Source organism: Homo sapiens, chromosome 7 (assembly GCF_000001405.40).
Source record: "Homo sapiens chromosome 7, GRCh38.p14 Primary Assembly".
NCBI classification, from domain to species: Eukaryota; Metazoa; Chordata; class Mammalia; order Primates; family Hominidae; genus Homo; species Homo sapiens.
Genome location: NC_000007.14, coordinates 101,228,984 through 101,253,176, shown reverse-complemented (window position 1 = coordinate 101,253,176; position 24,193 = coordinate 101,228,984). Strand labels below are relative to the sequence as shown.

Sequence of the window (24,193 nt, the reverse complement as noted above, 5' to 3'; positions counted from 1 at the left end):
TTTTGTAATTTTTTTGTGGAGACGGGGTTTCACTATGTTGCCCAGGCTGGTCTCAAACTCCTGGCCTCAAGTGGTACCCCCACCTTGGCCTCCCAAAGTGCTGGCATTACAGGCAGGAGCCATCGTGCCCAACCTATAATACTTGATTCTTTTCTTTCATGCATTATTATTGTTATTATTAAGACAGAGTCTTGCTCTGTCGCCCAGGCTGCAGTGCAGTGGCGCGATCTCGGCTCACTGCAACCTCCTTCTCCCGACTTCAAGCAATTCTCTGCCTCAGCCTCCCGAGTAGCTGGGACTACAGGCATACGCCACCACACCCGGCTAATTTTGTATTTTTAGTAGAGACGGGGTTTCTCCATGTTGGTCAGGCTTGTCTCGAACTCTTGACCTCGTGATCCGCCCGCCTCGGCTTCCCAAAATGCTGGGATTACAGGAGTGAGCCACCGCGCCCGGCCGATCAGTACTTTTTAAAAACTTTTAGGTTCAGGGTACACGTACAGGTTTGTTATATAGATAAACTTGTGCCACGGGAGTTTGTTGTACAGATGGTTTCGTCACCCAGGTACTAAGCCTAGTACCCGAGATGACAACTTCTGAAAATAAAATAATCTGATAAAAGCGATGGACATTCTCTTTCACTTCCAGGTGGCGTGGCGCCGCGCCCCTCCTGCAGAGCTGAGTCGTTCATTGGCCAGTGGGGTCCCCGTGCCCCGCACCGGGCTTCGCTCGGCCCCGCCTCCCCGCCTAGGGTGGCTCCTGCGCAGATGCCTTGAGCGTTGCTCCGAGTCCTCCAGCCCACCGAGTCCTCCTCCTAGAGCGGCCCCAGAAGAAGCGCTTCCTCCTCCCTCTCGGGAGCCAACGAAACCGACACCCGGAAGCCTAGTCGCCCGGAGGTTCTGAGCGTTCTGTTCGGACCTCCTACCGTTACTCTTTCATTCACTCAAGAAATGATTTCTTGAGTTCCCGGCCTTTGTCAGAGAGATGAACGAGGCACGGTCCGTGTCCAGCTAAAGGACAGTAGGACTGGAAGAGCGTTGTTTTCCAAGGTACAGGATGCCGCGCCTCCTAGGAGCCGAAGGGACGGGAGGCCGCGTAGAGGAGGGGACCGTCCCCGAGCCTCGCCGAGCCTGCGGTGTAGACACCTCTGGTGTCTAGTGGTTGAGGATCTGTTGACCGGGCATGGTGGGTAGAAGGAACGCTCCGAGCAGAAGAAAAGTGGCTGTCGTGAAGACATCTGCGTGTGCGGGGTGCGTGGGTGCCTGGAGATGAAGCTGGAAAGGTGAGCAGGGGCGGGCCTGGAGGGCTTCGTGTGCGTGGTAAGAAATTTAAACAGGATCCTGAGTAGCCTAGACGGTATTTTAGGGGCTTTTTTTGTTTTTGTTTTTTTGTGAGACAGATTCTAGCTCTGTCACCCAGGTTGGAGTGCAGTGGCTAGATCTTGGCTCACTGCAGCCTCCGCCTTCCGGGTTCAAGCGATTCTCCTGCCTCAGCCTCCCGAGTAGCTGGGATTACAGGCGCGCGCCACCACAACTAGCAAATTTTTGTATTTTTAGTAGAGACGGGGTTTCGCCATGTTTGCCAGGCTGGTCTCGAACTCCTGACCTCCAGTGATCTTCCCGCCTCGGCTTCCCAAAATGCTGGGATTACAGGCGTGAGCCACCACGGCCGGCCTAGGCTGTATTTTCATCTGGACATATGAGCTTGTATTTGCACTTCGAAATACACCAGGTAACCAGGTTGGGTTGAGGAGGAAAAGTATGCAGCCTGTTTGGGTATGGTGACAGAATCGAGGCAGGGACGGCCTGACATGTGTTTATTGGTGAGCAGTCTTGTGTCTCTTCCATTGACATGTAACTCTCATGAGAGCAAGGACTATTACCTCTTTAGTTCATTTGTCTTACCCAGCACTTAGAAGAGCGACTGGCCTGGCACACGGTAGGTTCTTTTTTTTTTTTTTTTTTTTTTTTGAGATGGAGTCTCTCTCGTCGCTCAGGCTGGAGTGCGATGGCACGATCTTGGGGCCCACTGTAACCTCCGCCTCCTGGTTTCAAGCGATTCTCCTGCCTCAGCCTCCCAAGTAGCTGGGATTACAGGTGCCCGCCACCATGCTTGCCTAATTTTTGTATTTTTAGTAGAGATGGGGTTTCACCATGTTGGCCAGGCTAGTCTGGAACTCCGGACCTCAGGTGATCCGCCCACCTCAGCCTCCCAAAGTGCTGGGATTACAGGCATGAACCACCATGCCCGGCTGGTAGGTTCTTTTTGTAAGATTTTTATGTATTTATTTTTAACTTAGTGTTGGGGTCTCGCTGTGTTGCCCAGGCTGGTCTCGAACTTCTGAGCTCAAGCAATCCTCCCACCTCAGCCTCCTAAACATAGTAGGTTCTTAAATGTTTTGATGGGTGAATGAATTAATTGATAGTTGACAGGACTTTCTAACTGGATAGCAGATGGAACTGGGAAGTAGAGGAGACAGATTACTGAAAATTGGAAGAACGCAAATATGGAATCCTGTTCAGCGGGTGTTTGCTGAGCCCTTCTTGTGCAAAAGGCTGAAGCGGGAAGTGCAAAATAGGCCCCAGCTGCTGGTGTACTCCAGGGAGGGGTCCAGAGCCCAGAATCTGCCCATATACACCAGTTCTAGGTCTTAGTCTCACCAACCTAAGATGTCAGTTTCCTTTCTGCTCACCCACCTGTCTGAATTTGAGAAGTAGATACTTCTTTGTTTTGTTTTGAGTATTACTGTCCACAGGCATAGAATCCATGTGACTGTGACTTTAAGGCTGTATATTATTCCATTATATTGATGTATTATCATTTAATAAAACCATTCCCTGGCATTTTTGTTGTTTGTTTACCTTCACAGATAATGCAGGAATGAATATCTTCATGTCTTCCTTTTCTTCCATTTTTTTTCTTTCATCATTTTCCCAGAGGAGTAATTTTTGTTCTGTTTTGTTTTGTGTTGTTTTCTTTTCTTTTTTTTGAGACAGCGTTTCGCTCTTGTTGCCCAGGCTGGAGTGCAATGGCGCAATCTCGGCTCACCACAACCTCCGCCTCTCAGGTTCAAGTGATTCTTCTGCCTCAGCCTCCCAAGTAGCTGGGATTATACGCATGCACCACCATGCCCGGCTAATTTTGTATCTTTAATAGAGACGGGGTTTCTCCATGTTGGTCAGGCTGGTCTCTAAGTCCCAACCTCAGGTGATCCGCCCGCCTCGGCCTCCCAAAGTGCTGGGATTACAGGCGTGAGCCACTGCGCCTGCCTTGTTTTGTTTTGTTTTGACAGCATCTCGCTCTGTCGCCCAGGCTGGAGTGCAGTGGTGCAATCTCGGCTCACTGCAGCCTCCACCTCCCAGGTTCAAGCGATTTTCCTGCCTCAGCCTCCCGAGTAGCTGAGAGTACAGGCACGTTCCACCTTGCCTGGCTAATGTTTGTATTTTTAGTAGAGACAGGGTTTTACCATATTGGCCAGGCTGGTCTCGAACTCCTGACCTCAAATGATCCACCCATCTCGGCCTCCCAAAGTGCTGGGATTACAGGTGTGAGCTACTGTGCCCAGCCAAGTTAAGGGCTTTTTATGTAAGCTTGATCACGTAGACATGATCGATTATTAACTCAATCTCCAGCTCCTCTCTCTTCCCCAAAGGATGAGGGGGGAGGCTAAAAGTTCAAGCTTAAGAGGCTAAACTTCAAATCCTGGCTTGGTCTTCCTGGTGACCAGCCCTCATCCTGATGCTGTCCAGGAGCCCAGCGAGTCACTTCATTAGAAGAAAAGGCACTCCTGTCACTCAGGATGTTGCAAGGGATTTTGGAGCTCTGTGTAAGATGCTCTTATTGGCCGGGCGCCGTGGCTGACACCTGTAATCCCAGGACTTTGAGAGGCCAAGGCGGGCGGATTGCTTGAGCTCAGGAGTTCCAGACCAGCCTGGGCAACAAAACAGCCTGAACAACATGGCAAAACCCCGTCTCTACAAAAAAATACAAAAATTAGCCGGGTGTAGTGGTGTGTGCCTGTGGTCCCAGCTACTTGGGAGGCCAAGGTGGGAGAATCGCCTGACTTGGGAGGTCGAGGCTGCAGTGAGCCAGGATCCCGCCACTGCAGTCAAAGCTGGGGTCAGAGTGAGACGCTGTCTCCAAAAAAAAAAAAAAAAAGATGCTCTTATTACTTCTATCACTCAGGAAATTACAAGGATTTTAGGACCTTTGTGTTGGGAACCAGGGCAGAGACCAAATATATATATGTGTGTGTATGTATATATGTATATATATATATATATATTTTTTTTTTTTGAGACAGAGTTCGTTCTTATTGCCCCGGCTGGAGTGCAATGGCGCGATCTGTGCTCACCGCAACCTCCACCTCCTGGGTTCTAGCGATTCTCCTGCCTCAGCCTCCTCAATAGCTGAGATTACAGGTGCTTGTCACCACGCCCGGCTAATTTTTATATTTTTAGTAGAGACGGGTTTCACCATGTTGGTCAGGCTGGTCTCGAACTCCCGCCCTCAGGTGATCTGCCCGCCTCGGCCTCCCAAACTGCTGGGATTACAGGCATGAGCCACCGGGCCTGGCCCCAAATATATAGGTCTTATTATGTCACAGTGCTTTTATTTGTTGAGTTATTTTTTTCTGTTTTCCCCATGAAAATGTAAGCTCCACCTTGGCTTACACTGTGCCAGGCTACTATTTGTAGGCAACTAATTGAGCACCTACTACACAGCAGGAGCTCAATTAGTATTTCTTGAATGAATTAAATCATGAGGGAATGAATGAGCCAAATAAGCAATGGAGGAGGAGACAGATGTTCCAAACAGAGAGGACTGCCTGTGTAGCGGAGCTGTGGCCACCAGGGGTTTGAGAGCTGAAGGAAGGCCTATAGGGCCAGTGTACATAGTACATACCAGGAGAGGTAGTGATAGATGAGGAAGAGAATTAAGCATGGCTAGATCCTAACGGACCTTGAAGGCTGTGTTTGTTTTAAGGGCAATGAGAAGGCATGAAAGGGTTTTTTTTTCAGACGGAGTCTCGCTCTGTCACCCATGCTGGAGTGCAGTGGCGTGATCTCGGCTCACTGCAAGCTCCACCTCCCGGGTTCACGCCATTCTCCTGCCTCAGCCTCCCGAGTAGCTGGGACTACAGGCGCCCGCCACCACGCCCGGCTAATTTCTTTTTTGTATTTTTGGTAGAGACGGGGTTTCACCATGTTAGCCAGGATGGTCTCGATCTCCTGACCTCGTGATCTGCCCGCCTCGGCCTCCCAAAGTGCTGGGATTACAGGCGTGAGCCACCGCGCTCAGCCATTGGGTGTAAAATTAACAGGGACTACTTTCTATCACTATGTCGGAGGTGGATGACTATGCTAACTAGACTTGAAAAGCTACAGACTACGGATCTCTTCATTGGCACACAACTGAGCCACCTGAGTAAATCACTCTCCCTTCATCCCTTGTTGACATTCAGCAAATCCTGATGGTGCTTCTGCCATGCACCAGGCCTCTACCAAGGGCTGCAGCAAATATAAACATGACTGTGGTTCAGGCTGCCCCCCAAAAAGGAGCCTCCTAATAGAAGGAGTGCCCCCTTCATCTTCCTGTGTCCCCTGCCCTGCCAGTGTTTGCCTCCCGTCTTCAGTCCTGTTTTCAGTCACCTGCTTCATATCGTGTCCATCTTTTTTATTTTTTATTTTTTTAGAGATGGAGTTTCGCTCTCGTTACCCAGGTTGAAGTGCAGTGATGGGATCTCGGCTCACTGCAGCCTCCACCACCTGGGTTCAAGCGATTCTCCTGCCTCAGCCTCCCAAGTAACTGGGATTACAGGCACCCACCACCATACCCGGCTAATTTTTTTTGTGTGCATATATATATATATATATTTTTTTTTTAATTAAAAAGTAAACTTTAATGTTGAAAATGCAAACTTGGGGAGGGCAGAAAGATCACATACAAGGCTGTCACTTCACACTTGGAAGGTTGCACAGCGGCTGGGCAGAGGTGCATTTTTTGTATTTTTAGTAAAGATGGGATTTCATCATGTTGGCCAGGCTGGTCTCGAACTCCTGACCTCAGGTGATCCACCCGCTTTGGCCTCCCAAACTGCTGGGAATACAGGCGTGAGCCACTGCACTCAGCCCTAGTGTCCTTTGTGCCACCCCAAGGCCCAGGCAAAATTAGGTGCTGTATACTTCTCTGAATGAACATGAAGTTTTCCCCTTGAGGCTTATGCTAGTGGGCAGCCAGTTCCCCAACCTGGGGATTCTCTCAAGGCTTACAGAGCTTACTGTATCAGTCATTTCAACCATCCACGCCAAATAGGGAAGAATAACTCTTGTCTTTCTAACTCACGAGACTATTATGAGGAGAAAAATATTAGAGGCTTGGCTGGGCACGGTGGCTCACGCCTGTAATCCCAGCACTTTGGGAGGCCGAGGCAGTCTGATCACCTGAGGTCAAGAGTTTCAGACCAGCCTAGCTGACATGGTAAAACCCCATCTCTGCTAAAAATACAAAAATTAGCTGGGTGTGATGGCCGGCGCCTGTAATCCCAGCTACTTGGGAGGCTGAAGCAAGAGAATCGCTTGAACCCAGGAGGCGGAGGTTGCAGTGAGCCGAGATTGTGCCACTGCGCTCCAGCCTGGGTGACAGAGCGAGAAACTGTCTCGGAAAAAAAAAACAAAAAACAAAAAACAACCTGGGTGTGGTGGTGCACACCTGTAGTCCCAGCTTCTTGGGAGACTAAGGCAGGAGGATTACAGGAGCTCAGGAGGTCAAGGCTGCAGTAAGCTCTGATTGTGCCGCTGCATGCACTCCAGCCTGGGCCACAGAATGAGACCCTGTCTCTAAAAAATAATAAAAATTAAAGGGGCTTTGCAAACGCGGAAGGTGTCTGGATGATTATCCCCTGCATGTGCAGTGCCTTGTTTACAATTAATTTGCTTTTTCCGTGTTTATTCAACAAATATTTATTGAGCCCTCACTCTCTGCCAAGCCCTGTGCTAGATGCTGGATAAGCAAGGTAAGTCTCTGCCCTCAAGGAACTTACACTCCAATGTGACTCAAGGGGAAAAGAATTTGAAAGTTGCTACTTACCCAGTCCCCTCACTGCACAGAAACTGAAGCCAGAGGTGTCCACACCTTTCTCCTTCCCATGCTCTGATAGCTCCTCACTGCTAAGCTCCCCATTGCCCGTGACCCCATGTGGCAGGTTTCCCGCCTGGGGTGCACTCCCAAAATGGTTTATGTAAATAATATTGAAAATTGGACCTTCTCTGCCAATAATGGGGCCGTTGCTTTTTGAAAAACTTCCCGTTGATAGTGTCTCCTATGACTACCCCTGTGTGGCTGTGTGGTTTACAGATCCAGTTGCCTCTGCTCTTGCATTGTGAGAGTCAGCAGAGGCCCAAGAAACCCCGATACTAGTTTGCTGCTGTTGGTGGGTTTTTTGAGACAAGGTCTCTGTCGCTCAAGCTGGAGTGCAGTGGCGCGATAACTCACTGCAGCCTCGAACTCCCGGACTCAAGCGATCCTCCTGCCTCAGCCGCCCCAGTAGCTGGGAGTACAGGTGCACGCCACCACGCCGGTTGATTTTTTTAAAAATTTTGTAGAGATAGGGTCTCGCTATGTTGCTCAGGCTGGTCTTGAACTCCTGGCCTCCAGCGATCTTCCCGCCGCGGCCTCCCAAGTTGTTGGGCTTCGGACGTGAGCTACGCGCCGGGCTCCCGGTTCTAGTTAAGATTTTGTTGCAGGCGATGAATAGTCACGTGGCCTCCAAGGTCCTAGATTTCTGAGGGGCGTCAGCTTGGCACCCTAATGTACTGTGATCTCTGGTCAGCTACCCACCCTCTTTTTGCTGTTTTCATCCTGGGGGCTAACCGCCAAGACATGGCCTCCAGTTTCCCTAGGGAAGCCTCCACAGAGGAAGGCACCGGCTGAGGCACCTGGGAAGACCAACCTGGGGAAGGTCTCCCTGCGCGCAGTCTGCGGGCTGGAGGGACCGGCCGAGCCTGCGCACTAGCGCCCCGCCGGCGCTGCTGAACTGAGAGGAAGGGGCGGGGCGTCGCCAGGTCGTGCCAGCATCCGCCGGACGCCGGAAGTGGTTCTCCGCCCCTGCCACTGGGCCATGGAGACTGTGGCACAGTAGACTGTAGTGTGAGGCTCGCGGGGGCAGTGGCCATGGAGGCCGTGCTGAACGAGCTGGTGTCTGTGGAGGACCTGCTGGTGAGGCCTGGCCCGGACAGAGGGAAAGGGAAGGTCGGAGGGCGGGTCCTGAGGAGAGTCAGGTAGGGGCCGAACCCTCCTCCCGGCATCGGCTTGGCCGAGGGAAGCCGAACTACGGCTCCCGGCAGCCTCCACAGCGCCTGGCTCCTGCCCGGAGGGCCTGCTATGCCGCAGAGGCTCCTGGGAGTTGTAGTGTCCTGAGCCCCCCACACCTCAGACTACGGGCCTGGAGCCCGACCGTGGTTAGACTGACGGGATCTGGGATCATGCAGGAGCTGTGAGCTCAGGGCGCTCCTCCAGCGGTGGAGGAATACAGTGACCATCATAAGGTGTCACCTATTACTGCGTCCGGCACGGTGCTAAGGCATCGCATGCCAGATCTCAGTCTTTGTAGCTCTAGGAGGTAGGCACTACTTCTATTCCTGGACAATAAAAGGTCCAGGCCCGGCAGGGTGGGGCAGGATGGGGCCAGCAGCCTCAAATGAGGACCGCGTGGGCTGTTGAGCAGTTCTGACAGCGTGTTTACTGTTCGGCCGCCGGGGTCAGCTGCTCCGGGAGCGGTGCCTGGAGCTGCCACCAGGTGGCATCTCCGCTCGGTACCGCCGCGGGGAGGGGAGACCGGGGGCCTCTGTCCCAAGAGCTGGCCCGCAGGCCCGGAGGAGCCGAAAGCCTGGGTCCCGGGCATGGAGATAGCAGAAGCTGGGGTGCCAGATACCGAGACCTGCGAGGGAAAGGGGCAGAGCCAGGGAGATGGCATGTCCAGATAGAGAATGGTTGACGCCCTACATTTCTAAATGATTCCTTTCCTCCCCTGTGGCAGAAGTTTGAAAAGAAATTTCAGTCTGAGAAGGCAGCAGGCTCGGTGTCCAAGAGCACGCAGTTTGAGTACGCCTGGTGCCTGGTGCGGAGCAAGTACAATGATGACATCCGTAAAGGCATCGTGCTGCTCGAGGGTGAGGCGCTGTACTCTCCCTTTCCCGCTGCCATCTGGGCTGCTCTGCGATGTGGGCCCCGTAGTCCAGGCACCTCTGAGTTGTCTCCGGTAGATTTACTGCACCAAGGGCTATACTTAGCTTGACGTCTCCCAGTGAACTTTTGGCTACTTACCGCCCACCATTGTTTTGCCAGACAGAGTGTAGCATGTCAGTTCCCCCAGGACTGTCTTGATCTGGGAAAGTGACTTGAGGTCACCCAACTAATCAGTTAATGGCTGAATTGGGACTAGAAGCTCCTGTTTTGTGAGACCTAGGCCCATGCCCTTCCCCCCAACACCACCACCGTGTTGCTTAGCAGCTATTGAGAATCTTTTGTGGCATGGAAGAGGTACAGAGGACTGTCCTACAAAATTGTGAGCAGATAGTGCTTTTTGTTTTTTGTTTTTGTTTGAGACGGAGTCTTGCTCTGTCCCCCAGGCTGGAGTACAGTGGCGCTGTCTCAGCTCACTGCAACCACCACCTCCCGGTTCAAGCAATTCTCCTGCATCAACATCCTGAGTAGCTGGGATTACAGGTGCCCACTACCACGCCCAGCTAATTTTTGTATTTTTTGTAGAGATAGGGTTTCACCATGTTGGTCAGGCTGGTCTCTAACTCCTGACCTCAGGTGATCTGCCCACCTCGGCCTCCCACAGTGTTGGGATTACAGGTGTGAGCCACCTCGTCCAGCCAGATAGTGCTTTTTGGATGGGAACCCTATTTCCTATTGGTTTTAGGTGGGTCATCATTTGTCAGAGGCCACAATACTTAACCACTTAGTTTCTCTGTAGCTCCTTGTGTTCAAATAATCATTTATAAGCACACAGTCAGTGTACAGCCATCCCTCTGTAGCCATGGGGGATTGGTTCTAGGAACCCCACCCCCACAGATACCAATAGCCACCCAAGTCCCGTATATAAAATCGCATGGTATTTACATGTAACCTGTGCACCTTCTCCCATATACTTTAAATCATCTGTAGATTACTTATAATACCAAATACAATGTAAATGCTGTGTAAATAGTATACTGTATTGTTTAGGGAATAATGGCAAGAAAAAAAGGTCTGTTCATGTTCAATACAGATGCAACTATCTTTTTTTTTTTTCTGAGTATTTTTGATCCATGGTTCGTTGAATCTATGAATACAGAATGCTGACTGTGTTAGCAAAGGATGCCTATTGAAAATCTATAAAAATGGCCAGGCACAGTGGCTCACACCTGTAATCCCAGCACCTTGGGAGGCCAGGGCAGGCGGATCACGAGGTCAGGGGTTCGAGACCAGCCTAATCAACATGGTGAAACCCTGTCTCTACTAAAAATACAAAAATTAGCTGGGCCTGGTGGCGCACACCTTTAATCCCAGCTACGCAGTAGGCTGAGGCAGGAGAATCACTTGAACTCGGGAGACAGAGGTTGCAGTGAGCCAAGATCACGCCATTGCACTCCAGCCTGGGCAACACAGTGAGACTCCGTCTCAAAAAAAAAAAAAAAAAAACTATAAAAATAAGACTCTTTCTTAAAAGATACAAATAATTTTACCCTATGTTTGTCTACTTCGGCAATTCAGATTTTCAGGTTTATTCTACAGCAGGGTGTAGGTGTAGAAGAAACAGCCTCTCTAAGTGTTGCCAGTCTAGTTGAGAAAACAGTACAGACAGGAAGATTTATAAACACCTGCAGAATTATTTAGCAACAAATTCTAGTGCATACAGTACAGTTATCCTCTGGGAAGTCTCTGAATTAAGAAAGTCAGGTGGGGCCAGGCACTGTGGCTCATGCCTGTAATCTCAGCACTTTGGGAGGCCAAGGCCAGAGGATGGCTTGAAGTCAGGAATTTGAGACCACCTGGCCTGTCTGTGTAACAAAGATGTTTAAATTAGCCAGGCATGGTGGTGTGTGCTTATAGTCCCAGCTACTTGGGAGGCTGAGGCAGGAGGATCACTGACCCCAGGAGTTTGAGGCTGCAGTGAGCCATGGACATGCTACTGTGCTCCAGACTGGAGTGACAGAGCGAGACCCTGTCTCCGTTTTTTGTTTTTTTTTTCCCGAGACTGAGTGTGCAATGGTGCAATCTTGGCTCACCGCAACCTCTGCCTACCGCATTCAAGCAATTCTGCTGCCCCAGCCTCCCGAACAGCTGGGATTACAGGCATGTGCCAACACGCCCGGCTAATTTTGTATTTTTAGTAGAGACGGGGTTTCTCCATGTTGGTCAGGCTGGTCTCAAACTCCCGACCTCAGGTGATCCGCCCGGCTCAGCTTCCCAAAGTGCTGGGATTATAGTCATGAGCTACGGCTCACGGCCCACCCTGTCTCTTTAAAAAAAAAAAAAAAAAAAAAAAAAAGGAAGGAAGACAAAGTCAGGTGGGGTCTTCGGGGAAGGCTGATTGAAGGTGAGTTTTGAGCTGATTTTTTTAAAGGGGGAGGGAGTCCTAACTTTTTTTTTTTTAAACAATAATTGTACAGCAGGCAGTTTAGTTAAAACCACAACGGCAGCACTTTGGGAGGCCAGGGCAGGCAGATCACTTGAGGTCAGGAGTTTGAGACCAGCCTGGCCAACATGGTGAAACTCCATCTCTACTGAAAATACAAAAATTAGCCAGGCGTGGTGGCGGGCACCTGTAATTCCAGCTGCTCGGGAAACCGAGGCAGGAGAATCGCTTGAACCCAGGAGGCGAAGGTTGCAGTGAGCCGAGATCACGCCATTGCACCGCAGCCTGGGCGACGAGTGAAACTCCGTCTGAAAAAAAATACCACAGCAGATGCCAAAACTGAGTCACGCTGCCTTTGGCTTCTCCAGGGCCCCGATTTCCTCATTTCAGTTGGATGGACCAGTTGACTGTAATACTGATAAAAGGCATGTTCTGTCACTGGGGTGTTGGCACAGCTGGGGTTCACCCTGTCCCAGAGCTCTGGCTAGGGTGCTGGGAGTGACTGGAGCTGAAAGGGAGGCTTAGGACTGTGACCCTCCCAGGATCACAGAGGCATTCAGAGAGTGGAAGGGGCCTCTGGGACACAGTATTAGGAAAGTATTAGGAAAGAAGCATTTCTCACCCTCTTCTCTGCCCCTCCCCAGAGCTGCTGCCCAAAGGGAGCAAGGAGGAACAGCGGGATTACGTCTTCTACCTGGCCGTGGGGAACTACCGGCTCAAGGTGAGGTGGGGACCCCGTTCCCTTCACCCTCCTCTGGGGCTGCAGGACCTTCTTACTGTGTCCTCCAGGGTGGAGCCCTGGACAGCGGGAAGGCTGAAGGGGTGCAGAGGTGCAGAGCGGTGTCAGATGAGGACTCCGAGGGAAGATCAGAGTGGCGAGGGGGTGGGGAGGAAGGTGACGTCAAGAGACTGGGTGCAGGCCCAAGCCTTGCGCTGTTATCTCCCGCAGAGTTGGGGTTGTTTGTGGACTCTACTCCGTGGGGTGGGGCTGGAGGGAGGGAGTGGGTGGAGGTCGAGGGAGGAGCCCCCAGGGCTGAAGAAGGGAAGGCCCTTCACGTGGGCAGGGGGAGTGGTGGATACTGAGGTGTAGCCGGCCCAGTGGCTCACGCCTGTAATCCCGGCTACTCAGGAGGCTGAGGCGGGAGGACTGCTTGAGCCTGGGAGTTTGAGGTTGCAGTGGGCTGTGATTGCGACGCTGCCGTCCAGCGTGGGCAACAGAGCAAGACCCCGTCTCTTATTAAAAAACAAACAAACAAAAAAACACTGCGGTGTGTATGACGCGTGCGCGTTTCCCCGAGCGCAGGAATACGAGAAGGCCTTAAAGTACGTCCGCGGGTTGCTGCAGACAGAGCCCCAGAACAACCAGGCCAAGGAACTGGAGCGGCTCATTGACAAGGCCATGAAGAAAGGTGACAGCCTCGGCCCCTTTGTTCAGCCCCGCTCTTCCCCACGCCTGGGCACTTTGGTCTCTCTGTAAATGAACCCCTCCAGGCAGCCCCTCAGCCCCACCCCTTCCAGTTCTTAGAGCCCCTTGCCCTGCGACTCCAGGTAGGGGTGTGCCTCTGTTGAGGGGCAGGGCTGGCGGAAGGGGACGGTCAGGGTTTCCGCAGGGGCCGGGCTCCTGACACTGTCCCTTTCCTTCCCCAGATGGACTCGTGGGCATGGCCATCGTGGGAGGCATGGCCCTGGGTGTGGCGGGACTGGCCGGACTCATCGGACTTGCTGTGTCCAAGTCCAAATCCTGAAGGAGACGCGGGAGCCCACGGAGAACGCTCCAGGAGGGCCTGTCCATCCTCGCTGTCCTTTCCCTGTTCTCCCCCTGCCCCCCGTCTCTATCCTCTGTGGCCTTCAGCTAATTTCTGCTCCCCTGAGATTCGTCCTTCAGCCCCATCATGTGCTTTGGGATGAGTGTAAATAAAACGGGGCTGTGGCTTGGGAACCCCCGTGTCTGCGTTGAGGGGAGGGGTGGGTTCTGAACGCTGGGCACAGGGGGCGGAGACGTCACTCCTGGTCCTCTCCTGCCCCTGCCCTCCAGGTTGGCACGGGGTTCTTTGTCCACCCCGCAGCCCAGAGCCCACACCCTTCCTTCCTCCCTTTCCTGAAGCCATGTCCTTGAGAGTGCCGGGCAGCTCGGAGACATGGGGCTTTTCCATGGTCCCAGAGTCCTGGGAGAAGGCAGTGACCTGAGCATGGGCGGGCAGAACTTCGGGGCCAGGCCGGGCTTCAGGCCTGCATTCTCCTCTGACCCACTCAGCTACTTCTGTGGAGTTTTCCACAGCAGGCCCCCTTGGCTTCCTCCTCCCCACCCTCCCCTCCCTTTGTCTTCCTGTGGCCTCCCCTTCCTCCTACCTCCTCCTCTGGGGGAGGGGGAGCCCAGTAGGGGAAGGAATCCTGCATCTGGCATGGAGTAGGCGGGGGTCCCGGGAGAGGTCAGAGCCCAGGGAGCCCCAGCTCTCGCCTGTGGGCTGGAAGGTCAGGACTCAGCCCCACCTAGCCAGCTTCGCCCCCTCGTGCCAGGCTCGGCATGGGCCTGTTTTGCTTCACCGCATACCTCTCGTTCCACAGCCCAGGCCAGCACAGGAGTAGGGAGGAGACACCTGAGGGGAGGCCGGAGAAGCCCAGCAGGGCCGTGGGGCCAGGGAGGTGCGCAGCCAGCGCTGATGGCCCCCAGGGACAGAGCCCTAGGGAACCGGAGCAGGAGATGAGAGTGTCTGCTCTGGGACAGGTGCTCTGCACTGGCTCGGGATGGGGACCAGAGGCTGCTAATCCATCATCATTAACGAATAGAGTGGGTGACAGTCCCTGATAACTGGGAACAGGTTGCAGAGCTTAGCCACAGGATCACGCTCCAGGCTGTTGGCCAGCAGGACCAGGCTCGATGCTGAGTCAAAGATCAACTTAGGAGGAAATTTGAGTTTTGGGTGAGAGCGACTCCCTGGTGGCCTCAGCCCTGTGACACTCACATCCAGGACAGTTCCCGGTGCCAAGCGCTGGTTATGTGTGGGGGGCTTGACTCCCTGGTCCCAACGAGGTCTCAGTGTGTTGCCCAGGCTGGTCTTGAACTCCTGAGTTCAAGCAATCGTCTCAGCCCAGCCTCCCAAAGTGGTAGGATTACAGGCGAGAGCCACTGCGCCCGGCCCCTGGTCCCAGTTCTCACCACAGCCCCTGCAGTAAGCAGTCGGGTATGTCACTGACAGAGCAGAAGCTCAGGGGACTAAAACTCCCCGCCTGAGTTCCCTGGTGAATGGATGGTGGGGCCGAGTTCCATTCCAGGCTGGATGGAGCCCAGAGCTGTGGGTCTCCTACCCTCCCATCCCCTCATTCCAGCTTGATCTTCCTTAAGAGACTCATACGCCCCAACCCCTTGGTCTGAGTATCTTAGATTGTTCTCGTGGTTCCTCCGTCCTTCACCACTGAAGGCTGCTGTTCATTCTCTCTCCGTCTCTGTCCCTTATTGCTCTCACGTCTGTCTCTGTCATCTTTTCACTCCTTGTCCCTCTTACTCCGTTCTTTGGCCCCCAATGAAAGCTGAGTCAGAGACAGACGCTTCCCCTCAGTTCCCAGTGCCTCCCTTGGGGGCCCCTCCTTGGCTGTATCCGTCAGTGGCTCCAGGGTAAGTCTGCCCCCCCCACCCTCGTGGGGCGGGGAGCCCGGGGCAGCCCAGAGGCTGGGGGGAGGGGGTGGACTTTTGGCCCGTTTCGGTTATTCCCTCCATCTCGTCAACAGCTGCCGCGCGCAGGCTTAGCTCATTCCTCTGACCTGCCAGGAAGCAGAGAGACCCACAGAGCAGGAGGGAGGCAGAAAGTGGAGACGGACCTGAGCCCGAGGAAGAGGCAGGCAGAGGCTGAGGCTGATTCCACCCCAGCCTGCCTGGACAACCCTCCTTAGCCGCAGCCCCTTCCAGTTCCCTAGGGGTTCTGCCCCTCCCCCTCTCTGGGGCACCAGCCCCCCAGGGTCCTGCATCCCACCATGTCGATGGCTGTGGAAACCTTTGGCTTCTTCATGGCAACTGTGGGGCTGCTGATGCTGGGGGTGACTCTGCCAAACAGCTACTGGCGAGTGTCCACTGTGCACGGGAACGTCATCACCACCAACACCATCTTCGAGAACCTCTGGTTTAGCTGTGCCACCGACTCCCTGGGCGTCTACAACTGCTGGGAGTTCCCGTCCATGCTGGCCCTCTCTGGTATGGGGTGGGGAGCGCTCCAGGGAGAGAGGGCGGCGGGGAAGCTGCAGAGACCCCAGGGGAGGGCGGGTACTTCCGTGAGGATGCAGGGAGCCCTGAATTAAGCTCTGCGGGTCTGAGTTCCCGCAGCCAGGAGTGCTGGGGGCGGCCCATGCCTAGAACTGGAGTGAAGACCTTGCCACACGTGGCCCCCTGCGCTAGTGTGGCGCTTTTAGCTGTTACAGGTGCAGGCACCAGAATCAGACCCCCTTTCCCAGCCCTGTGCTGTGGGCAAATGATGAAACCAGCTTCATCTCCCACCTGTAGGGTTAGGGTGAGAGTCCCAGTTCACAGGTGACTGAGAAAGTGCAGAATGTTAGCGTGATGTTAACACACATAGGCACTCAGTACGGTTGAGCATGTTTTGGGGGTGGGATTGCTGGGGTGGGCAGGGGGAGGAGGCCCCATCTTGGATTCTTAGAGGTTGATCAACTTCCAGGCTCCACAGACTCCCCAGCCTCACTGTCGGGGGGCACTGGTCTCCTTGTCCGGCTGATGTCTATAAAGGGCCCCTGTGAAGGGAGGCGTCTTGCAAGTTGCAGGTTGAGCGTCCGCTGTAAGGAGGCGGTGTGTGTGCAGGTGTGTGGGGCTTCCAGGACAGTGTCTTTCTGGGGTCTTAGAGGGCTGGAGCCAACAGCTCTTTGGGCCCAGGGCAGTTCTTTCTGTGGCTGCGGCACCTTCCCGCTCCCTGCTCCCCGCTAAGATGAGGCCGCCCCATTGTTTCTCCGGGGCAGTCTCCCTTCCGTCTGCCCTATGCCAGAGACTGAGCGCTGGCGACCGTGAACTGTGTGTGGTGCCGCTGCACGCCCTCCTGGGTCCTTCAGGGCCAGTCCACTCACCAGGCACCGTGTGGCAGGGAAGGAGCCGAGGGCGACACTGGCTGTGAAGCGGGGCTTGAGAGCTCACCCCCGGGGATGTTGGAGCTGCTCTGAGCAGTTAGGGGGCCTGGGTGGGTCTCCTGTGCCCCCACTACTCCCAGCCCCTCCTGAGGCAGCGGCAGAGGCTTCCTGTTTTCATCCATCTCTCTAGGACTGACTGTATGCAGGGCCGGCGGGCCCCCCCCCCAAAAAAAACCCTATAAAAGCTGAGTACAACTTGGGCCAGAACCCCAGAGTTCTGAGTGTCCAGAAGGGACACTGGAGGCAGCCCCTACACCCACTTCCCAGACACATCATGCTGTGAGGAGGGGGCTCTGCTGTGAGCCTGCACACCTGAGAGGGGCACCCCTGGCAACTGCATGAAAGATGGTGCCAGAGTCCCCAGGGCACAGGGGTAGAGGGTGACCAGGTTCCGGGCCTTGGGCTAGGTGCTTCTGCCTACATTTTTCCACAGTGGGGAAGTAGGGGGAAACTTTTACAGAAGCAAGGTGCAGCACCCCACCCTGAATCACACAGGCAGGAGAGGGGAGCCGGCATTCAGACTCCACGGCTGGGGTGGTCCTGGGAGAGGGACCTGACTGCGTCTCCCAACCGTGCACCCCAGCCCCTGGCCACGCAGCCCATGTGCCCCTGGGCTCTTCCATAATCTCTCCATTGACTGCTAGAGCCACCTGGGGACTCAGACTCGTGTCAGCCCCAGAGGGAGTGGCTGGGAGGAAGAAAGTGCTCCCAGAGAACTTTGTCCCTCCTGCCTACCCCCCGACTCTGCACCCTGCATCTCCTGGCAGGGACCCAGCCTTTCCCCTTCAGCACCAACAGTTATGCCCCACCCGGGAAAGGGGTGCAAGGTCCTTGGAATGCTTGGCAACTATCAAAGACAGAGAAGGGAGGAGAAGGGGGAAGCAAGAGGGAGCCCGCAGCCTCCAGCTCTGAGAAAAGGGAAACTGAGGCACTGAAAGACTGAGCTAGACTGACCTGGATCGGTCCTGGGCCCAGGATTCCACCTAGGTCAGAAACTCCACCGGGTGTGGTGGTCCACACCTGTAACCTGAGCTACTCAGGAGGCTGAGGCAGGAGGATCGCCTGCATCCAGGAGTTCAATCAAGGCTACAGTGATGAGCTGTAGTGGCGCCACTGTCCTCTGGCCTGGGCGACAAAGCAAGACCCTGTCTCTAAAACTGCCCTAGGCCCTCTGCTGTACAGCACCGCTGCCCCCTACCTGTTACTCCAGGAAGAAACCAAGGTCAAAATGTCCAGCACTGGGCTAGGACAGTGAAGGACTTGGAGTGGAATCAGACGTGGGGAAGGCGACAGCGATGCTTAGCTGTGGTTTCTGTATACCCAGCAACGTGAGAGCAACCTGATAGGGCAGTTGTTCTCAGCCGGGCGACTTTGCACAATGATTGTCACAGCTTGTGGGGAGGGGGTTGCTACTGGCACCCCGTGGGTAGAGGTCAGGGAGGCTTCTGAACATCCCACAGTACACAGGACGGCCCCCAGAATAGAGTTGCCCAGCTCAGGTGTCAAGAGTGCCCAGGAGAAAGCCTGTAATCCAGGCACAAGCAAAGCGTGCCAGGTGCATGGGAGGAGTGGGGAGCAGGGTGGGAGGGGCCCAGATGCCTAAGGAGGGAAGGGTGACTGCAACTGGGTAGGCTGGAGGAGCCCAGGGGAAGGAGAGGATGTGGGGACTGTTAGGTACAAGAGAGCAAGAAGGTGAGGGGGGCCTGGCACAGTGGCTCATGCCTGTAATCCCAGCACTTCAGGAGGCCGAGGCAAGCAGATCATTTGGGGTCAGGAGTTCGAGACCAGCCTGGACAACATGGTGAAACCCTGTCTCTACTAAAAACAGAAAAATTAGCCGGGCGTGGTGGTGCGTGTCTGTAATCCCAGCTACTGGGGAGGCTGAGGCAGGAGAATCACTTGAACCTGGGATGGTGAGGGGCTGTTGGGCTGGCTCCGTCGCAGAGGGGAGATGGGAAAGGCTGACAACTGTGCCCACCCCCAGGGTATATTCAGGCCTGCCGGGCACTCATGATCACCGCCATCCTCCTGGGCTTCCTCGGCCTCTTGCTAGGCATAGCGGGCCTGCGCTGCACCAACATTGGGGGCCTGGAGCTCTCCAGGAAAGCCAAGCTGGCGGCCACCGCAGGGGCCCTCCACATTCTGGCCGGTAACTGGGGGAAGGTGATGGGGCGGGGGTCCCCCTCAACCGCAGACTTCAGGCTGCTTTGTCCTCATCTAATCTCCTCTCCAATTCCCACTCCTCATGCTCACCTCCCCTACCCTGCTGCATGGACACCTGCTCACCCCTGCCTCATCTGTACTCCCCAGATCTCCTGGCTGCAAATCAGCCCATCGGCAGTGTTTCTTGAGCTCCCAGTAGGGGCTGGCCACGGCCAGGTGTGGGAGGGACTTCGAAGATAAGAGTGAGCGGCTGCCTCCGGGAGCTTACATCCTAGCTGGGGAGCAGAGTTAGGGTGCACGCTATGGCGCACACACACAGTGCACGTCCACAGTGCCATACCACGGGGCATGGTGGCTCATGCCTGTAATCCCAGCACTTTGGTAGGCTGAGGTGGGTGGATTACTTGAGGTCAGGAGTTCAAAACCAGCCTGGCCAACATGGTGAAACCCTGTCTCTACTAAAAATACCAAAAAAAAAAAAAAAAAAAAAAAAAAAAAATTAGCCAGGCGTGGTGGCAGGCACCTGTAGTCCCACTGACTTGGAGGCTGAGGCAGGAGAATCACCTGAACCTGGGAGGCAGAAGTTGTAGTAAGCCAAGATTGTGCCACTGCATTCCAGCCTGGGTGAAAGAGTGAGACTGTCAAAAAAAAAATGGCCAAGGCAGGAGAACTGCCTTGAGCCCAGGAGTTCCAGACTAGCCTGGGCAGCATAGTGAGAACCCGTCTCAGCAAAAAACAAAAACAATGCCATCTGGCCATTGCTTTTCAATTTGCAGAACATTTCTGTACCCATTGCCTCACAATAAGCCTTTGAGGTAGGGTGGGTATTGCTTGTTTTCCAGAGGTAAAACAGGCCCAGAAAGGTCAGGTGGCTTGCAAGAGGACAAGCCCCCAGTGAGTAGGGTGGTGCTAGCCCGGGGGTCTGCCTGGCTTCAGGAAAGGACGACCCTGGACTCCCATGGCCCAGCTGGGTTTTCAAGGTTTCAAGGGTGGGCGGGATTTGGATGGGGCTCCATCTGGGTGAGGAGATGATGGGATGAAGGCCCTAGAGGTGGGCATGAACTAGGTAGATCTGGGACCAAAGAGAGAAGAGGCAGGAGGAGGTTGAGGTAGTGTGAGATGAGCTGGGTGGGCTGGACTTGGGGCCTAAGGGCTACCCTGAGAAGTTGACCCCAGGAAGGAGGAAGGCTTATAAACTGGGGTGGGGAGAAAGGAATTGAGTGAAATTGCTGCTCTGGGACTTGGTGCCCCCGTCCTACTCTGGGCAGCCCCTGCCTGCCTCTCCCCTAAGCCCCCTCCCCCACTATCCCTCCCCCTGGACTGGACTGGGGTCGTCCTCCGGTCCCCAGGTATCTGCGGGATGGTGGCCATCTCCTGGTACGCCTTCAACATCACCCGGGACTTCTTCGACCCCTTGTACCCCGGAACCAAGTGAGTGAGGAAACCCCCCACCCCCCGCCCTCGGGGCAGCGGGTGGGACTCAGCCCTGCCCCCCGGCTGGCGTCTCACTTGTCCCCCGCCCCCGCGCCGCCCTTGTGCGCAGGTACGAGCTGGGCCCCGCCCTCTACCTGGGGTGGAGCGCCTCACTGATCTCCATCCTGGGTGGCCTCTGCCTCTGCTCCGCCTGCTGCTGCGGCTCTGACGAGGACCCAGCCGCCAGGTGAGCAGGGTGAGGCGCAGGCTGGGGCCGGGCGGGATTGGAGAGAGGAGGGCCGCGCCCCCGCTCTGACCCCGGGCCCTCCCCGCAGCGCCCGGCGGCCCTACCAGGCTCCAGTGTCCGTGATGCCCGTCGCCACCTCGGACCAAGAAGGCGACAGCAGCTTTGGCAAATACGGCAGAAACGCCTACGTGTAGCAGCTCTGGCCCGTGGGCCCCGCTGTCTTCCCACTGCCCCAAGGAGAGGGGACCTGGCCGGGGCCCATTCCCCTATAGTAACCTCAGGGGCCGGCCACGCCCCGCTCCCGTAGCCCCGCCCCGGCCACGGCCCCGTGTCTTGCACTCTCATGGCCCCTCCAGGCCAAGAACTGCTCTTGGGAAGTCGCATATCTCCCCTCTGAGGCTGGATCCCTCATCTTCTGACCCTGGGTTCTGGGCTGTGAAGGGGACGGTGTCCCCGCACGTTTGTATTGTGTATAAATACATTCATTAATAAATGCATATTGTGACCGTTCAGGGCTTGAAGGTGTCAGAAGCGGCCGGCCAAGCAAGGGGTGAGGGGTGGTGCCAGGGGTCGGTTCAGGTCTGGGACCCCAGACTGCCACCCTGTCCACCACTTTGGGGCTGTGTTGTACAGCAAAATAGAAGAGGGGTTGCAAGTGATTTCGCCAGTGGCACATAATTGCTGGTAAGAGTCACCAAGGAGCAGATCCCGGAAGTCCCGGCTGCAGGAAACTGGAAATAGCAGAGATGGCCCCTGGCCAGCCTGAGACCCCAAGCTGCTCCTTTCACTCTCCATGGCCAGTCTAGAGCAGAGCTGCGTGCCCTGGGCCTGAGCATGGATGGTTATCAGGAGTGATAAGCCTTTTGAAATTCTGTTTAACATTAACTTGGGAATGGTGCAGAGACTTTCTCCGGGGAAGGTACAGTACCTTCCAGAAGAGCCTCTGGAGGTCTGTCGGTGGGTATGTGTGCACCTCGGTGGTGTCCGGCTGAGACACGGTTCTGGGTTGTGGGTGGGTTTGCTGCAGGCCCAGTGGGTGCTAAGCACAGAGCTGCACCCGCTTAAGATGAGACAGTGAGGCCAGGTGTGGTGGCTCATGCCTGTAATCCCAGCACTTTGGGAGGCTGAGGCGGGGGAGGGGGGGTGGCGAGGAGGATCACTTAAGGTCAGGAGTTTAAGACCACCCTGGCCAACATGGTGAAACCCCTTCTCTACTAAAAAAAAAAAATACAAAAATTAGCTGGGCATGGTGGTGCGTTACTGTAGTCCCAGCTACTCAGGAGGCCAAGGTGGGAGGGTCGTTTGACCCCAGGAGTTGGAGGCTGCAGTGAGCTGTGAACCACTGCACTCCAGCCTGGGCGACAGAGGGAGATCCTGTCTCAAAAAAAAAAAGAGAGAAAACAAAAGGACAATGAGGCCGCTAGGAAGAAGCCTGGTATCCAGCAAAGTGGGCAATGGAGCCCCATCCCAGCACTATCCTCTGCAGTGCGAACAAGTGGCCAGTCCCTTGGGGAGCCCTGGATTCTGACCACAGCCCCTCCCCTTTCTCCTTCATCTCATTCGCCCTCACCAACCCTCCCCTGGAATGGAGAGATCTGCATTGGCATTCCACCTGTGCCTCTCCCCTGCGCTTCAGAAGTACATGTATGTTCCTACCATGTGGGCTCCAGACACATCGAATTCATCACTTTCCGCAGAGCTGCAGTCCCCATCACCCCTGTCACCAGCATGGCTGACATCTCTGTCTGCAGATGGACAACCTCTCCCTCCCCTCTGCTCCACCACTTCCTCTCCTCCGTTCATTGCCAAATCCTCCAGACTCTCCCTCTATGGTGTTTTTCACACCCATCTACTTCTCTCTCTTCTCCACTGCTGGTCCTGGGGCAGGCCCTCATACTCTCCTGCCCCCCCACAACTACAGGGTTCCCCCAACTGGGCGTCTCAAGCACGGTCTTCCTAATGCACTCCTGGAGAACCACCGACCGCCCTGCCTTGGCAGCTCCTGGCCCCGCCAGAAGAAAGCCCCAGACAGTTATGAACTTGACATGCTGCCTGGGCCTGGCCCACCTCTCCATCCCCATTGCTCCCTTTCCTCCGGATAAACCGTGCTCCACCATCACACCAGGCTGCTTCCTGGGCCCTGGACACACCTTCACCTTGGGGCTGGGATCCTTGGGATCCTTTTGGCTGGGCTCCAGCCAGAAACACTGGTGCTTTTTTTTTTTTTTTTTTTTTTTTTTTTGAGACAGAGTCTTGCTCTGTCACCCAGGCTGGAGTGCAGTGGTGCGATGTTGGCTCACTGCAACCTCGGCCTCCCAGGTTCAAGAGATTCTCCTGCCTCAGCCTCCCAAGTAGCTGGGACTACAGGCGTGCGCCACCATGCCCAGCTAATTTTTTTGTATTTTTAGTAGAGACAGGGTTTCACCATGTTGGCCAGGCTGGTCTCAAACTCCTGACCTCAGGTAATCCGCCTGCCTCAGCCTCCCAAAGTGCTGGAATTACAAGTGTGAGCCGCTGCGCCTGGCCAGATGCCCTGGTGCCTTTTGAGCTGCTCCCTACATAAAGGGTCCTGTGGCCAACAAGTCTGTGACCAACTGCAATCCTCTCCTTCCACACCGTCTTCTGTCTTTTACAGGCCAGGCTCAGTAGAAGTGTCTTTTACAGGCCAGGCTCAGTGGATCATGGCCATAATCCCAGCACTTTGGGAGGCCAAGGCAGGAGAATCCCTTAAGCCCAGGAATTCAAGACCAACCTGGGCAACGTAGCGAGACCCCATCTCTACTAAAAAAATAAAAATTAGGGCCAGGAGCAGTGGCTCACACCTGTAATCCCAGCACTTTGGGAGACTAAGGTGGGCGGATCACCTGAGGTCAGGAGTTCAAGAGCAGCCTGGCCAACATGGCAAAACCCCAACTCTACTAAAAATACAAAAATTAGCCAGGAGTGGTGGCACACACCTATAATCCCAGCTACTCAGGAGGCTGAGGCAGGAAAATTGCTTGAACTTGGGAAATGGATATTGCAGTGAGCTGAGATTGTGCCACTGCACTCCAGCCTGGGCGACAGAGCGAGACTCCGTCTTGAAAAACAAACAAAAAGTGTCTTACAATCCTGAAAGGCCATGAGAGTGCTCCCTATAGTGAAGGAAGACAAAAGTCAATTACAACTGCTGACACCTCCAGGCACTTCCAAAAGTCTTCAGTGTGCCACCCCCACATGTCTACCTCCTTTTCCCAACACCAGCCTGCCTCTTCTCACTTCTTCCCCCTTCAGGAAAAACAACCTGTGCCCAGTTTTACAACTCGGCATTTAAGTGTGTGCCTTAATATGGTCACCAGGTTGAGTTTTGATTTCTTCCCGGGTGGACATGTGACTACAAAGGGTTATGGAGACATTTGCCCTTTTTCAGAACACATACTGAGCTGCTTCCCTGCTAGAAGCTGGAGTGGGCCTGTGCCCTCAAAGAACCCACAGCCTAGGAGCAAACACAAATGTAAACCACTGGCCGGGCGCAGAGGCTCACACCTGTAATCCCAGCACTTTGGGAGGCCGGGGTTGGCGGATCACCTGAGGTCAGGAGTTCGAGACCAGCCTGGCCAACATAATGAAACTCCATCTCT

The 24,193-nt window shown here is 54.7% G+C and overlaps 2 protein-coding genes across 3 annotated transcripts, besides 8 other annotated features; both read left to right on the top strand.

Annotated features, from left to right (window-relative positions):
- Nucleotides 618-747: a silencer, noted in NCBI's record as "silent region_18482". NCBI's record gives its function as "represses an Ori minimal core promoter by ATAC-STARR-seq in GM12878 lymphoblastoid cells {active_cell/tissue: GM12878}" and the evidence as "EXISTENCE:reporter gene assay evidence [ECO:0000049][PMID:35858748]".
- Nucleotides 788-1,187: an enhancer, noted in NCBI's record as "active region_26405". NCBI's record gives its function as "activates an Ori minimal core promoter by ATAC-STARR-seq in GM12878 lymphoblastoid cells {active_cell/tissue: GM12878}" and the evidence as "EXISTENCE:reporter gene assay evidence [ECO:0000049][PMID:35858748]".
- Nucleotides 1,616-2,569: an enhancer, noted in NCBI's record as "H3K27ac-H3K4me1 hESC enhancer chr7:100893889-100894842 (GRCh37/hg19 assembly coordinates)". NCBI's record gives its function as "activates a minimal SCP1, AML or CMV promoter by ChIP-STARR-seq in naive H9 embryonic stem cells {active_cell/tissue: H9 hESC(naive)}" and the evidence as "EXISTENCE:reporter gene assay evidence [ECO:0000049][PMID:30033119]".
- Nucleotides 2,628-2,767: an enhancer, noted in NCBI's record as "active region_26404". NCBI's record gives its function as "activates an Ori minimal core promoter by ATAC-STARR-seq in GM12878 lymphoblastoid cells {active_cell/tissue: GM12878}" and the evidence as "EXISTENCE:reporter gene assay evidence [ECO:0000049][PMID:35858748]".
- Nucleotides 8,073-8,312: an enhancer, noted in NCBI's record as "active region_26403". NCBI's record gives its function as "activates an Ori minimal core promoter by ATAC-STARR-seq in GM12878 lymphoblastoid cells {active_cell/tissue: GM12878}" and the evidence as "EXISTENCE:reporter gene assay evidence [ECO:0000049][PMID:35858748]".
- FIS1 (fission, mitochondrial 1) lies at nucleotides 8,096-13,705 on the top strand. Its single transcript, NM_016068.3, has 5 exons — nucleotides 8,096-8,217; nucleotides 9,038-9,170; nucleotides 12,271-12,347; nucleotides 12,930-13,035; nucleotides 13,274-13,705. The coding sequence occupies exons 1-5, from the start codon at nucleotides 8,173-8,175 to the stop codon at nucleotides 13,369-13,371; spliced, it is 459 nt and encodes a 152-aa protein (NP_057152.2). The 5' UTR covers nucleotides 8,096-8,172; the 3' UTR covers nucleotides 13,372-13,705.
- Nucleotides 8,403-8,452: an enhancer, noted in NCBI's record as "active region_26402". NCBI's record gives its function as "activates an Ori minimal core promoter by ATAC-STARR-seq in GM12878 lymphoblastoid cells {active_cell/tissue: GM12878}" and the evidence as "EXISTENCE:reporter gene assay evidence [ECO:0000049][PMID:35858748]".
- Nucleotides 12,714-13,257: an enhancer, noted in NCBI's record as "H3K4me1 hESC enhancer chr7:100883201-100883744 (GRCh37/hg19 assembly coordinates)". NCBI's record gives its function as "activates a minimal SCP1, AML or CMV promoter by ChIP-STARR-seq in primed H9 embryonic stem cells {active_cell/tissue: H9 hESC(primed)}" and the evidence as "EXISTENCE:reporter gene assay evidence [ECO:0000049][PMID:30033119]".
- A 651-nt stretch (nucleotides 13,706-14,356) lies between the features above and the next one.
- On the top strand, nucleotides 14,357-21,083 carry CLDN15 (claudin 15). 2 transcript variants are annotated; one of them, NM_001185080.2, is made up of 6 exons: nucleotides 14,357-15,239; nucleotides 15,353-15,812; nucleotides 18,735-18,899; nucleotides 20,263-20,344; nucleotides 20,457-20,573; nucleotides 20,662-21,083. In NM_001185080.2, exons 2-6 carry the CDS (start codon nucleotides 15,596-15,598, stop codon nucleotides 20,765-20,767), a joined length of 687 nt encoding a protein of 228 aa, NP_001172009.1. In that variant the 5' UTR covers nucleotides 14,357-15,239; nucleotides 15,353-15,595; the 3' UTR covers nucleotides 20,768-21,083. The 2 variants fall into 2 exon arrangements, with proteins under 2 accessions (NP_001172009.1, NP_055158.1); NM_014343.3 differs by lacking the exon at nucleotides 14,357-15,239 and having other exon boundaries at nucleotides 15,375-15,812.
- Nucleotides 20,706-21,627: an enhancer, noted in NCBI's record as "H3K27ac-H3K4me1 hESC enhancer chr7:100874831-100875752 (GRCh37/hg19 assembly coordinates)". NCBI's record gives its function as "activates a minimal SCP1, AML or CMV promoter by ChIP-STARR-seq in naive H9 embryonic stem cells {active_cell/tissue: H9 hESC(naive)}" and the evidence as "EXISTENCE:reporter gene assay evidence [ECO:0000049][PMID:30033119]".

Excerpts from the sequence above, each read along its gene's own strand:
- FIS1 (NM_016068.3), top strand. The coding sequence starts at position 8,173 with ATGGAGGCCGTGCTGAACGAGCTGGTGTCTGTGGAGGACCTGCTG. Across the intron at positions 8,218-9,037 it reads TGTCTGTGGAGGACCTGCTG|AAGTTTGAAAAGAAATTTCA; the intron begins GTGAGGCCTGGC and ends CCCCTGTGGCAG. Across the intron at positions 9,171-12,270 it reads AGGCATCGTGCTGCTCGAGG|AGCTGCTGCCCAAAGGGAGC; the intron begins GTGAGGCGCTGT and ends GCCCCTCCCCAG.
- CLDN15 (NM_001185080.2), top strand. The coding sequence starts at position 15,596 with ATGTCGATGGCTGTGGAAACCTTTGGCTTCTTCATGGCAACTGTGGGG. Across the intron at positions 15,813-18,734 it reads GTCCATGCTGGCCCTCTCTG|GGTATATTCAGGCCTGCCGG; the intron begins GTATGGGGTGGG and ends GCCCACCCCCAG. Across the intron at positions 20,345-20,456 it reads CCCTTGTACCCCGGAACCAA|GTACGAGCTGGGCCCCGCCC; the intron begins GTGAGTGAGGAA and ends CCTTGTGCGCAG.